General features: G+C 46.0%; 1 long non-coding RNA gene across 2 annotated transcripts in view, besides 1 other annotated feature; it reads left to right on the forward strand.

Moving 5' to 3' along the window:
- PCAT29 (prostate cancer associated transcript 29) overlaps window positions 1-14,886 on the forward strand; it is a 103,551-nt gene that overhangs the window by 26,496 nt on the left and 62,169 nt on the right. Inside the window, exon 3 of one of the 2 annotated variants that reach the window (NR_126437.1) lies at window positions 10,044-10,177. The exons of the other annotated variant lie outside the window; for it this stretch is intronic. This is a non-coding gene — a long non-coding RNA (prostate cancer associated transcript 29). The remainder of the gene's footprint in view (window positions 1-10,043; window positions 10,178-14,886) is intronic. 2 annotated transcript variants of the gene reach the window in all.
- Window positions 9,095-9,389: an enhancer, noted in NCBI's record as "tiled region #11672; HepG2 Activating DNase matched - State 20:ReprD, and K562 Activating non-DNase unmatched - State 24:Quies". NCBI's record gives its function as "activates a minimal TATA promoter and a strong SV40 promoter by Sharpr-MPRA in HepG2 and K562 cells {active_cell/tissue: HepG2 | K562}" and the evidence as "EXISTENCE:reporter gene assay evidence [ECO:0000049][PMID:27701403]".

Genomic DNA, 14,886 nt, shown 5'->3' on the forward strand with positions numbered 1-14,886 from the left:
ATTTCATTGAGCAGTGGTTTGTAGTTCTCCTTGAAGAGGTCCTTCAAATCCCTTGTAAGTTGGATTCCTAGGTATTTTATTGTCTTTGAAGCAATTGTGAATGGGAGTTCACTCATGATTTTGCTCTCTGTTTGTTATTGGTGTATAAGAAAGCTTGTGACTTTTGCACATTGATTTTGTATCCTGAGACTTTGCTGAAGTTGCTTATCAGCTTAAGGAGATTTTGGGCTGAGACAATGGGGTTTTCTAGATAACAATCATGTCATCCGCAAACAGGGACAATTTGACTTCCTCTTTTCCTAATTGAATACCCTTTATTTCCTTCTCTTGTCTGATTGCCCTGGCCAGAACTTCCAACACTATGTTGAATAGGAGTGGTGAGAGAGGGCATCCCTGTCTTGTGCCAGTTTTCAAAGGGAATGCTTCCACTTTTTGCCCATTTAGTATGATATTTGCTGTGGGTTTGTCATAGATAGCTCTTATTATTTTGAGATACGTCCCATCAATACCTGATTTATTGAGAGTTTTTAGCATGAAGGGTTGTTGAATTTTGTCAAAGGTCTTTTCTGCATCTATTGAGATAATCATGTGGTTTTTGTCATTGGTTCTGTTTATATACTGGATTACGTTTATTGATTTGCGTATGTTGAACCAGCCTTGCATCCCAGGGACGAAGCCCACTTGATCATGGTGGATAAGCTTTTTGATGTGCTGCTGGATTCGGTTTGCCAGTATTTTATTGAGGATTTTTGCATCGATGTTCATCAGGGATATTGGTCTAAAATTCTCTTTTTTTGTGTGTGTCTCTACCAGGCTTTGGTATCAGGATGATGCTGGCCTCATAAGGATGAGTTACGGAGGATTCCCTCTTTTTGTATTGATTGGAATAGTTTCAGAAGGAATGGTACCAGCTCCTCCTTGTACCTCTGGTAGAATTCGGCTGTGAATCCATCTGGTCCTGGACTTTTTTTGGTTGGTAAGCTATTAATTATTGCCTCAATTTCAGAGCCTGTTATTGGTCTATTCAGAGATTCAACTTCTTCCTGGTTTAGTCTTGGGAGGGTGTATGTGTTGAGGAATTTATCCATTTCTTCTAGATATTCTAGTTTATTTGCATAGAGGTATTTATAGTATTCTCTGATATAGTTTGTATTTCTGTGGGATCGGTGGTGATATCCCCTTTATCATTTTTTATTGCGTCTATTTGATTCTTCTCTCTTTTCTTCTTTATTAGTCTTGCTAGCGGTCTATCAATTTTGTTGATCTTTTCAAAAAACCAGCTCCTGGATTCATTGATTTTTTGAAGGGTTTTTTGTGTCTCTATCTCCTTCAGTTCTGCTCTGATCTTAGTAATTTCTTGCCTCCTGCTAGCTTTTGAATGTGTTTGCTCTTGCTTCTCTAGTTCTTTTAATTGTGATGTTAGGGTGTCAGTTTTAGATCTTTCCTGCTTTCTCTTGTGGGCATTTAGTGCTATAAATTTCCCTCTACACACTGCTTTGAATGTGTCCCAGAGATTCTGGTATGTTGTGTCTTTGTTCTCGTTGGTTTCAAAGAACATCTTTATTTTTGCCTTCATTTTGTTATGTACCCAGTAGTCATTCAGGAGCAGGTTCAGTTTCCATGTAGTTGAGTGGTTTTGGGTGAATTTCTTAAATCCTGAGTTCTAGTTTGATTGCACTGTGGTCTGAGAGACAGTTTGTTATAATTTCTGTTCTTTTACATTTGCTGAGGAGTGCTTTACTTCCAACTATGTGGTAAGTTTTGGAATAGGTGTGATGTGGTGCTGAAAAGAATGTATATTCTGTTGATTTGGGGTGGAGAGTTCTGTAGATGTCTATTAGGTCCACTTGGTGCAGAGCTGAGTTCAGTTCCTGGATATCCTTGTTAACTTTCTGTCTCGTTGATCTGCCTAATGTTGACAGTGGGGTGTTAAAGTCTCCCATTATTATTGTGTGGGAGTCTAAGTCTCTTTGTAGGTCTCTAAGGACTTGCTTTATGAATCTGGGTGCTCCTGTATTGGGTGCATATATATTTAAGATAGTTAGCTCTTCTTGTTGAATTGATCCCTTTACCATTATGTAATGGCCTTCTTTGTCTCTTTTGATCTTTGTGGTATAAAGTCTGTTTTATCAGAGACTAGGATTGCAACCCCTGCCTTTTTTTGTTTTCCATTTGCTTGGTAGATCTTCCTCTATCCCTTTATTTTGAACCTATGTGTGTCTCTGCAAGTGAGATGGGTTTCCTGAATACAGCACATTGATGGGTCTTGACTCTTTATCCAGCTTTCCAGTCTGTGTCTTTTAATTGGCGCATTTAGCCCATTTACATTTAAGGTTAATATTGTTATGTGTGAATTTGGTCCTGTCATTATGATGTTAGCTGGTTATTTTGCTCGTTAGTTGATGCAGTTTCTTCCTAGCCTTGATGGTCTTTACAATTTGGCATGTTTTTGCAGTGGCTGGTACCGGTTCCTTTCCATGTTTAGTGCTTCCTTCAGGAGCTCTTTTAGGGCAGGCCTGGTGGTGACAAACTCTCTCAGCATTTGCTTGTCTGTAAAGTATTTTATTTCTCCTTCACTTATGAAGCTTAGTTTGGCTGGATATGAAATTCTGGGTTGAAAATTCTTTTCTTTAAGAATGTTGAATATTGGCCCCCACTGTTTTCTGGCTTGTAGAGTTTCTGCCGAGAGATCAGCTGTTAGTCTGATGGGCTTCCCTTTGTGGGTAACCCGACCTTTCTCTCTGGCTGCCCTTAACATTTTTTCCTTCATTTCAACTTTGGTGAATCTGACAATTATGTGTCTTGGAGTTGCTCTTCTCGAGGAGTAGTTATGTGGCATTCTCTGTATTTCCTGAATCTGAATGTTGGCCTGCCCTGCTAGATTGGGGAAGTTCTCCTGGATAATATCCTGCAGAGTGTTTTCCAACTTGGTTCCATTCTCCCCATCACTTTCAGGTACACCAATCAGACATAGATTTGGTCTTTTCACATAGTCCCATATTTCTTGGAGGCTTTGTTCATTTCTTTTTATTCTTTTTTCTCTAAACTTCTCTTCTTGCTTCATTTCATTCATTTGATCTTCCATCACTGATACCCTTTCTTCCAGTTGATCGAATCAGCTACTGAGGCTTGTGCATTCGTCACGTAGTTCTCATGCCATGTTTTTCAGCTCCATCAGGTCCTTTAAGGACTTCTCTGCATTGGTAATTCTAGTTAGCCATTCGTCTAATCTTTCTTCAAGGTTTTTAACTTCTTTGCCATGGGTTCGAACTTCCTCCTTTAGCTCGGAGTAGTTTGATCGTCTGAAGCCTTCTTCTCTCAGCTCGTCAAAGTCATTCTCCATCCAGCTTTGTTCCATTGCTGGTGAGGCACTGCGTTCCTTTGGAGGAGGAGAGGCACTCTGATTTTTAGAATTTTCAGTTTTTCTGCTCTGTTTTTTCCCCATCTTTGTTGTTTTATCTACTTTTGGTCTTTGATGATGGTGACATACAGATGGGGTTTTGGTGTGGATGTCCTTTCTGTTTGTTAGTTTTCCTTCTAACAGTCAGGACCCTTAGCTGCAGGTCTGTTGGAGTTTGCTGAAGGTCCACTCCAGACCCTGTTTGCCTGGGTATCAGCAGCGGAGGCTGCAGAACAGCAGATATTGGTGAACAGCAGGTGTTGCTGCCTGATTGTTCCTCTGGAAGTTTTGTCTCAGAGGAGTACCTGGCCGTGTGAGGTGTCAGTCTGCCCCTACTGGGGGGTGCCTCCCAGTTAGGCTACTCGGGGGTCAGGGACCCACTTGAGGAGGCAGTCTGTCTGTTCTCAGATCTCAAACTCTGTGCTGGGAGAACCACTACTCTCTTCAAAGCTGTCAGACAGGGACATTTAAGTCTGCCGAGGTTTCTGCTGCCTTTTATTCAGCTATGCCCTGCCCCCAGAGGTGGAGTCTACAGAGGCAGGCAGGCCTCCTTGAGCTGCGGTGGGCTCCACCCAGTTTGAGCTTCCCACCACTTTGTTTACCTACTCAAGCCTCAGCAATGGCGGACGCCCCTCCCCCAGCCTCACTGCTGCCTTGCAGTTTGATCTCAGACTGCTGTGCTAGCAATGAGCGAGGCTCTGTGGGCATAGGACCCTCTGAGCCAGGCGTGGGATACAGTCTCCTGGTGTGCCGTTTGCTAAGATCGTCGGAAAAGCGCAGTATTAGGGTGGGAGTGACTCAATTTTCCAGGTGCCGTCTGTCACCCCTTTCTTTGGCTAGGAAAGGGAATTCCCTGACCCCTTGCACTTCTCAGGTGAGGCGATGCCTCACCCTGCTTCAGCTCACGCTTGGTGCGCTGCACCACTGTCCTGCACCCACTGTCCGACAATCCCCAGTGAGATGAACCCGGTACCTCAGTTGGAAATGCAGAAATCATTTGTCTTCTGCGTCGCTCACGCTGGGAGGTGTAGACTGGAGCTGTTCCTATTCGGCCATCTTGGCTCCACAAAATATTTAAACTTTCTTCAGTGCTGATTATTGACTTTAATATTTAAGGGCATACTCACCAATGAGGGTCTTGACAACTAATCCAAGAGTGTTCAATTTCCATCTTTAATTTGGTGCATTGCTTGCAGAAGACTTTAGATCCTGGAGATTTTAGAACCACCATGCTCTTAGGTGTAGAAGGAAAAGGCTGGTTCCTGTTTGGGGGACACTAGAAACAGAAAGAAATAATGGAACACTGCCTGGCTTTGACTGTAAGCTGCCTTAAGTTGGAATCTAGTGTGCCTTTGGTTAAGTTATTTATACTCTTGGAATTTCAGCTTCTTTACCTGAGAGAGACAACGTCCTACTTCTCCTGGGGATGGTCTTGAAGACTGAATGGCTCTATAAAACTTGGCCCAGTGCCTGGAGCACAGATGCTCTCAGCAAACATACTCTTGTCCCCACCCCAGAAAGCTTCCAGGTCATTCTGATCTCTCTGGTGAAAGGGAAGGATCTCTTATTGTCTGAACCACACATATTTAAAGAAACTAAAACTGTGTGTCCAGGGAATTATGCTGATTATGTTAATTTCTACCTTGATTGGTATATAGCACATAGATTAACTAGAACTGCAGAGGGATGGGGAGATGCTAAAGTCACCTCCTAGCCTCCCCCAGCACTGGGCTCTGGGCTCCCTACCTCCTGCCTGACATGGGTGGCCCTAGTGCCCATTGGGTCTGCTAACCAGGTCCTGGCTGAAGATATGAGGGAGGCCTAGGGGACTCTTGGGCTGGGACTGAGATGGTTTAAAGAAAAAACATGTGAGAACCTGTGTAATATTGGGATGTGGGAGAGGTGATAGGGCTGAGAGGCACCGAAGGCAGTGACTCATGGTAGTTCTGCAGCTTGAGGTTATTAGGTGGCATCAATCTGAAAAGAAACTGGGGCTCACCACCCTTTCCCAGCCACTCCCTACGTCAATTTCTCAGCAGGTTGTTGTCCATTTCCATGGGGAGACATTTCTGTTGTTTCCTCTGGTGAATTCCAGCATGAGCTAGTCTCTCCTTGGGTTGTTATTTGGGGCTTGGTGAAGGGGGGATTCTGAGCACCCCTGGGTGGGAGTCACCATGTTGTCTGAAGACACCATGTGACTAAGTGTTAGACTCAGTGAACTCATGTCCAAGAAGGTTGGGGTGTGGTGTGGAAATTACTAATTTTAGAGTCAGATTCCCCTGGGTTCCAGCCTTAGCTCAGTCACGTGGAAGCTGTGCCTCACTGGGCAGTTACTTCACCTCTGTGATGTTTTTTGGAACACCAGCTTTGTATTGGGGTTTTCACAGGAGTTATGTCTTCTAATTCTCACAACCAGCCCGATGTAAGGGATGTTATTCCTATCTCACAGATGATGAAAAACTGAGCCTTCAAGAAGTGAAGTAACTTCCTTCCTTCCTTCCCTCCCTCCTTCCTGACTTCCTCCCTTCCTGCCTTTCTTCCTCCCTCCTTCTCTCCCTCCCTCCCTTCCTGCCTGCCTGCCTTCCCACCTTTCTGCCATCTTCCCTCCCTCTCCTCTCATTCTTGATCATTCCCACTCTTTCTTTCAAACATGTTTTAAGTGCCTGCTAGTTTCACCTACATGATCATCTTTTAATATATTTTTGAGTTCAAAGACACCTACTTGAAGTGCTTTCCTTCCTCCATCTGGGACATGCTCCTTGGGTCCAGACCAACTCTGTTCTCCCAAGGGAAGAGAAGCAGCTCTCACAGAGGAGCTCCCTTCTTCCGCAGAATCAGATGCTGCCCTTGTGGCCAGTTGGGTTCCCACCCACCTGATTCTGGAGCCCTGGACCAGAGCCCTACGTTCACCATGGGAAGAGACCTTGTGATAAGCCACTCCTGAAGGCATGGCCTAACTCTGGACACAGGTGGACAGTGGGTCACCACCAGGCTTGGCCACCACCCAGATCCCCTTGGACCAGGAGATCAAGGCTTCGTGCTCCATCAAGGACATGAAACAAAACAATGGGGAGGAATAAAACAGGAGACCTAAAAAGCAAGTATTCTTGTCCCTTGTCCAGACTTTGGAAACATTTTGTCTTGAGAAAAATCTGATTCACAGAGGGGGCTTGGGGAAGGGGGCTGCAAAGGCAGGTTGAGGAGCTCAGTAAATACCAGAGAGTGAGCCTGGTAGGAGACTCTGTTCCTCCAGCTCTGAAATGACTGTGGGAACATGAAAACAAGTTTGTTTTTAACCATCTACCAGCACATGGGAGGAGAGAAAGTTCTGGGATTTCCCTCTCTCTCCTCTCTTCCTGAATTGAAGAAAACTTGGCCATTTGTCCTGCTCTGGTTTCCAATACTGTCTCCTGGGTCCTTAGGAGGTGCTAAGCCGAGTGGCCAGCACACACAGAGGGTGTTATTCCAGCTTCAGGTCATGCTGATGGAAACTAGAAACCAAGTCCTACCCAAAGCAGAATGAAATACACACCCCACATCATCATCATATGGTTTGTTTCCAAAGAAAAACCTGCTTGCTTGTTTTTCTTTCTTTCTTTCTTTCTTTCTTTCGTTCTTTCTTTCTTTCTCTTTCTTTCTTTCTTTCTTTCTTTTTCTTTCCTTTCTTTCTTTTCTTTCTCCTTCCTTCCTTCCTTCCATCCTTCCTTCCTCTCTCTCCCTCCATCCCTCCCTTCCTTCCTCTCTCTCCCTCCATCCCTCCCTTCCTTCTTCCTTTCTTCTTTCTTTTTTTGATAGAGCCTGGCTCTCACTATGTTGCCCAGACTGGTCTCAAACTCCTGACTTCAAGCAATCCTCCTGCCTCGACCTCCTACAGTGCCGAGATTACAGGAGCAAGTCACCATTCCTGGCCTAAAATTTTCTTTTATCAGCACCCCATTTTCCAACAACCTGCAGTTACGTTGGCCAAAGGCCAGAATCTACTTCTGAAAGCTCCTGCTTCATCTAAGGCCTCAACTCTTGCCCCTCTCCCTTGACCTCTATGTTGTTAATGTAATAATTTCTTATTCTTAGAGTTATGGGCTCTGGCCCAGTGTGGAGGGGCCAGAGGCTGACTGAAAAGCAGGCCCAGAGAGAGGAAGAAATTCATTCACCCAAGGTCACAGAGCTTTCAGCAGAGCTGGGACAGACCTCCTCTGACTCCCAGGCTGGGGCAGTTTCCTCCAGGGCTCCTCACCCAACCACGAGTTGTTCTTCGGTGACCCCAGGCACCTTCACAGCTCCAAACATCACCACCAAGAGCTGCCTTGACTTTTCAGACGTCATCGAGAACAATAACAACAAAAAAGCATGAAAGAAAAAAGAAAGCAACAAAAACAAAAAGTAATAAAACCCTCCACCGTTCCCCAGCCCTGACCCAAGATGCCTTCATTGCACAAATCAGTGGTGAGGTTTCCCCACAGCCTGCTCTGACCAGGGTCATTTTGCAAGGGAAAGTGGCATGTTTTGGGATTGTACCCCACCCTGTATGTTTGTAGGTGCTGTATGTCTGAACATTTAAACTAGAATGTCTTCAAGAGCACCAACCGTGCTATTTGTTTTTCTCAGGCTGTTTTCATTAAGGCTGTGGCCTCCCAGGCAGAGCCCAGGGACTTAATTACGGCACCCAAAGGTTATCTCCCCAAACTAAATTTCATCTCATGTCGGGCAGCTGGAGCCAACTCCGCCAGCTGTCTTAATAGTTCAGACTTTGCCTCCCGTCCCTCTGCTTGGAAATTAGGCTGGCTGGGTCAGCTCTATACCCACACTTACTGCCTGCAATGCTTTGTGAGAGGAGTTGCCTGCCCTTTGGCTCTTGCACACCTCCTGGAATGACAATAAAGCCTTCAGTGATTGAGGGCAGAGATTTCCTTATTCACCTTCATATCCCCAGCACCTAGCCCAGGTCCAGCACAGAGCGCAGGAAAGGTCTGTCAAATTACCATGTATTTCCATATATTTCTATTTTACTCAGGTTGGTCAACTCCTCAGCTCTTGAGCCTACATTTTGCCTCTGCACTTCAGCTCGGGTTGTTCCCTCTACCTAAAACGCCTTTCCACCTCCTTTCTACTGCTCAGAATCTTGTCACTTTTCAAGGACCAATTCTACCCCCTCCTAGAGGGTGCACTTCTTAAGAAAAAGGGTTGGGCTGATTTATGCATGTATCCCTATGTAGAAGTGTTCAGCACATGTCTGTACCAAGAATAAATAAATGAATGAATGAAACTCTGATTTCTCCCCCCAACCCCTCCAGGTTTTTGGGCCCTTCTCAGAAACCCCCCAGCCCATGGCGCTCTCTTCTGCTCATTGGGCTGACCTGCTTATTGGGTGCCTCTTGACTCTTTGGTCATCATCTGGCCCAGCATCCCAGGCTATGATTGGCTATCTTGAGGAAATCTTTCTCTCTGTCTTCTAACACTATTTGCCTTATTTTCTCCCATCTAAACTATGTCCAAGGGAAGTCCTACATGAGGGGATATATGGCACGCTGGCCCAGGTCATGTCCAGGGGGGCCACCTGGGGTGGAGACAAGTAAAATCATGGGTCCAGGGAGGAAAGAAGTCAGGTCCTGGAGATGTGCTTGGATGGGGGGCAGGGAACGTGCTCTCAGGCACATACCACAGGCTTTAGAGCTCAAGTCAGAGACATTTTCTGCCCAGAAGGTGCAGTGTTCCCTAAGGGCTAGCATTGGCAGAAAAGGACTGCTGAGCCAATGACCATGGCTGTCAGGAACTCAGATCCTAAGGCAAAGATGGCGGCTCACAGCAAGAATTGGTTGCTCCATGCTGGGCCTGTGGGCTCTTGACCAATAGGAATGGGCAGTGGCCAGAGGCCTGCAGGTGAATCCTGTTACTAAAGCAGCCAGCGGCATTTCAGGCTCTTCAAAGGCTGGGTCCATGTCACCACCTCATCCCAGTGTTTGTCCAAGTCCCATTGCATCAGAATCTATGGCATGGGACCAGGAACCTTCACCTTTAACAAGCTTCCAAGGTCCTGCTTAGATGCACTAAAATTTCACGACCACTGCCTCCTGTTTCTCTGAGTTTTCACATACCACAGCTCATGGTTGGACAACATAAATATTTCAGCTTATAAGTCACAGGGGGTCTTCCCTGTTCCTTGAGATCCAGGTAAGATTGGCTCAGATCCCCAAATTCCTCCTCCATGGAGATCCAAGGACCCTAAGATTTCTGAGCCTCTCCAGAAGCTACACATTCAATTGGCTCTGGCTGCCTCAGAGTCTTGCTTTCACACTTACTATCTTCATCCCACACCTCACGGACCCAGATGGGAAGCTCAGCCGCTTCTCATTTTCCACATAACAATCTGCTGGCGCAAAGCATTCGTGGGTGAGGCAGATTTATTTGAAGATACGGGGTGGGGCGGGGGTGGGGATGAAGGAAGGATTTACATCACTGCAATGCAAACAACTTCAAGTTGAACATGAGATGCTCCCATTCTTAAAATGCCCTTCTGGCCACTCCACTGCTGGGTGCTTCTCTCTGGCCTTTTGCTCCAGGCAGCTACAGCTTTGCACCATCTTGCTGCTCCCCAGTCCCTGCCTTCTCTGATTCTCTCTCCCGTTTCTTTCCTTGTTCCCTACAGAGGAGGCTGGCCTTTGCCCCACGGCCTTGGCTGCAGCACCATCACATGCCTCCACGCCTCTCCATCTCCTCATGAAGATCTCTCTCCAGATAGAGACCATTTCCTCCCTAGAGGAATCCTTGTACTATCCGTAGGTGAGAACACTTCACCTCATTACCTGGATGTGGAGTGTTGAAGCTGGAAGGGATCCCAGAGATCGTAAGTCAAACTCCAGTGAAACAGTCACAGGCCCAGTCTCTGGCAGGTGCGAGGCAGAGTGGAAGCTAGAACATAGGTCCCTGGCTCTCATGCTAGGGCTCCTCTTGATTAATTGATTCCAGGAGTAACTCAGGCTACCAAAGCCCCTTACAAATGTAGCAAGGCTTTGGGGCAAGACCATATTGTCCACTCGGGCTATCCAATGACACCTGTTGGCATTTCTTCATCACTTCACCCTGACTCAGAAGTTAATTCTCATAAGCATAGTCCTTCTGCCTCTGCACAGGTCTTGGGGTGACAGGCAGCCAGGATTCCAGCTCTACTTTTACCATCAACATGCAGCTTGATCTTGGCCATGAATTGTCTTCTCTTTGGGGCTCAGTTTACCCACTGTTAAAAAGAGGCCTGTTTTTGACATTGTCCTAGCAATTTGCAGAACTGTTTCAGGAGCCTTCAAGGGGTGGTGCACATGATCCAAGCCTGTGTGTGGGGCTGGGGGAGTAGGGATTCAGTCCCTACTACAATCAGAGACAGCTCTCCTTACATCTATTCTAATGACGGGTTCATAAGGACTTCTAATCAAATTAAGATTTCTATTGCTTACAAAGTACTTAAAAACCTCTGGTCTAGCTGACATTTGGGGTCCACAGCTCTAGTGACCTAGGAGCCTCATGGCTGAGGCAAAGCGGGCTGTCTCTGCAAGGCTCCACACAGCTGCGCCTTCCACGTGGCGCCACTTATGAGCAAGTGGGAACATCCATCACGAGGCACTGGGGACAGCTGGGCGGGCAGGCGGGCGGGCGGGTCCCCATTGTGGAGGCTGTTTTGGGGACTTTCTGAGTATTGGTAAGTGTGAATCAGGCCCCAGATTTTCCATTTCCTCTGCCCATTGCTCTTTCAGAAGAGCTTGTAAGTGTGTGCTTCAGCAAAATGCAGGTGCTGAAAGTTCCACGCGTCCAAAGAGGGTGTGGGAGAGAGTAGAGGGCTGGGCGCAGGTGGGCACCGGGCATTTCCACTGTGGGTGGTACCCTGAGGGTGAACAGCCTGTCCCACCTGCAGCCCTTCTGAGGGTCCACTCCCTCGTCAGCTTAGGTGCTCTGGGGCTCTTAAGTGTCTCTTTGTCCTGAGCGTCTGAGATTTGAAGCAGCCAAGGCTTGTGTGGTGGCCCCAGTGTTAAGAGAGGGCTGCTCTGCCGGCCAAGATGGCCCTGGTCCCTACACATGTGCAGATGCAAGCCTGGCCTGCTATTGACTTCCTTTGACCTCGTTCAAAGATTAAATACAATGTGTATGTGCAGCACTTCAGAGTACGCCCAACGCTTCCTAACCACGATCTCATTTGGCCTCACACAAATCTGAGAGGGAGGCACAGCAGGGAACACTGTGATGCCATGTGAGATTCACATGTGGGGTGGAAACAGGTCTTTGGGCTCTAAGGCCAGCGCTCTTTGCTCTCCACTACGGCACCTCCCAACTCAGCCTCCGTCCTTGGCTTCATTTTTTACTTCTCCATCATTAAGAAGGGAAGCATTACTAAAGACATTTCCTTGGCATTTCTTACCCAGCTTCAGTTATTAAAATGACAGTTTAAGGATTTGTTCCTGCGGTCATTCATTTATTCACTCACTCTCTGAATCACTTGTTTATACACTCACCTCATTTGTTTAGTTGCTCACCCCACACAGGTAGCCATTTGTTCACTCATTTATTCATTCATTCAAGTCCTTTTTGAATGCCTACTATGTGCTCAGCTGATGGTGGGCATCAGGGAACACAAAGAATGCTGAGTCAAGATTCCTGACTTTGAGAAGCTTGTCACACTCTCATTGAGGAACAATGGAAAGGGGTGTCCTGTGTGGTTTCTCAGTCACAGAGGATCCAGTTTTATTTGTTCTTACCATTGAATGCTAATAGATATTGCTTATTATATGGCTTTCCAAAGTCCCAGATATGTTCTGGTTGGGAAAATGCTGGGCTAGGTGAGTTTTAGGTGCCTGCAGTGCTGGAATCCCATGGCTCTTTAGGAGCTTAGAGAAAGGAGGGTACTGATAGTTGAGGTGGCCAGGGAAGGGTTCATGGAAGAGGTGGGAGTTGAACTCGGCTTGGGAGGTCGTGGGGGATTTGTGAACAGAAAGAGGAGAGGAGCAGAGGCCCAGGATGGCAGGAGGGGCAGAAGTGAAGTCCCATGCATGTTCAGCAGCTCTGGATAGGCAGCCAGGCCAGGTCTGTGTGTGCATGTGTGTGCATGCATGTGTGTGTGCATGAGTGTATGTGTGCGTGCATGTGTGTGTATGCATGCATATGCATGCATGTACATGTATGTGTGTGCATGTGTGCATGCATGTGTGTGTGTACTCGTGCATGTGTGTGTGTGGTGGGGGGAGGCGAGCATGGGAGCAGAGCAAAGAGGAGGGTTGTTGTCTGGGGAGGGCGAGGTTTATGTGCAGGAGGCTGTGGAAGCACCTGCCTCTGGCCCTTTTGCCTGTGACTATTTGGCTTTGTGTCAGTTGCATCTGATGTGTGAGGGGGCAGCCGCTCTCAGCAAATTTCCCTCTAGCTTTAACAAGAAATATGGGCTTTGCTCGTTGTGTGGGTGATAAGACACCCTTTGCCTCTTTCAGCTTTTGGCCATACAAGCATAAGCAAATAATGTTTTTCTCTCCCTCCTTTTTAATTGATTTTTCTTACAGGGAAGTGAGAGGGAGAAAACAATGAACTTTGAGTGCAAAAAGAGAAGGAAGGAAAAGGTAGAAGAGAAAGAGAGAGAGGAGACAAAGGAGGAAAAAGGTGGTAGAGAATGGTAAGGAATGGTTAAGAAAGATAAAAGTTAAAAAAGAAGAAAGAAAAGGAAATGGTTAGAGAAGAGATGGTGTTAAAGGGAGTCTGGAGGGGAGAGAAGAGGGGAAGAAAAAGAGAGAGGAAAGAGCAAAAGGAAGAGAGGGAAGAGAAAAAAGGGTACTAGAAGAAGAGAAAACAGGAATATAAAGAATAAGAAAGGCCAATGGCAGTGTCTCAATTCTCTCTAGAGCTTTGGCTAATTTTTTTTTTTTTTTTTGCCAAAAATACTTGGGATAAATACCTGGATTCCTCAGAACCTGAATGCCCCAGAGGACCAACTTTACAGGGTTAATTACACAATAAACTGCCTTTCCAGATGGCTGTTTCCGCATCTGCAGAGAGGAAAAGGAGTGGCTGCCTGGGGTCCCCTCTCTCCTCAGCCTCCTGTGGCTGTGCGTTGCCATGTGCACCATCTCCATGTGGATAAGAACCTCTCACAGACTCTCTCCCTAACAAGCAGTGTCATAGGTGGTGATGGCAGCAGTTGTCATAGAAATGCCTCTCTCTGTCTTCCCACTGACATGACCATTCTTAAGAAAACAACGTCACACGCACACACCTCTCTCAAAAAACTTGAGATAGAAGGTATTTGTCTAACCTGATAAAGAAAAACCTATTTTAAAATAGGAATAAGACAAAGATATCTTCTACCAACAATCTCTTTTTAAACATTTTCCTGAAAATTCTAGCCAATGCAAAATTTCATGAAGTCAGGGGAAAAAAGGACCTTAACTACTGAAAATAAGACAAAACTATTATTGGTTTTAGGTTATATAATCACATATGCAGAAAACAAGATGAATCACTAGAAAAACCCTTAGAATGTATAATAGAGCTTGGTATCGTGACCGAATAAATGGTAACCCTAAAAATCTCAGGGTCCCATATGGTTTAGTCTCAGCACAGAGTTATACTAAAAGGAAATCTAAGTTGGACTCCAGAAACCTGGAATGGTCACGTGGACTTTTAGGGCAGGCTTTCTTAAAAAGGCTTGTCATGCCCAGAGGTTTTACATATCCCGCGACATAGAAAATTTTCCAGAAATTCTCTCTAGATGTTCGTTTCTCTCTCCAAAACTACACACTCAGGGCAGAGGCTAGTATGCAGTCACTTCTCTGTTCAGGTAGTTCTTCCATTGCCGGCATCTCCCCTCCCACCTACATTTTCTCCTTCGCTGGTGGACCCCACTGCCCTGAATCTGATCAGACATCCTTGTGACCTTCTGATTGTCTCCCCACCCACACTGAGGAAAGGACTGAACCCTTGGGGACCATAGCTTTTCTTTCTCTTTCTGTCTCTCTTTGACCAATTTTTTGTTTTTTGTTTTGTTTTGTTTTGAAGACAGACTTTCACTCTTGTTGCCCAGGCTGGAGTGCAATGAAACGATTTTGGCTCACTGCAACCTCCACCCCCTGGGTTCAAGCGATTCTCCTGCCTTAGCCTCCCAAGTAGCTGGGATTAGAGGTGCCCTCCACCATGCCTGGCTAATTTTTGTTTTTTTGTAGATATGGGGTTTCAACATGTTGGCCAGGCTGGTCTCGAACTCCTGACCTCAGGTGATCCACCAGCCTCAGCTTCCCAAAGTGCTGGAATTACAGGTATGAGCCACTGCGCCCAGACTCTCTTTGACCAATTTTCTTGTGAATTATCACTGGGAACATTGCTAGTGAATATATTCTCCTCTCTGATACACAAGATAAATACACAAAAATCAATAACTTTCTTATGGACCCACAATAACTAGTGTGAAAAGAAAAGCAAACAAAAACATAATCTACCTCTGAACAATTCTCAGTGAGAAATGTGTA

Source organism: Homo sapiens, chromosome 15 (genome assembly GCF_000001405.40).
Source record: "Homo sapiens chromosome 15, GRCh38.p14 Primary Assembly".
Taxonomy (NCBI): Eukaryota; Metazoa; Chordata; class Mammalia; order Primates; family Hominidae; genus Homo; species Homo sapiens.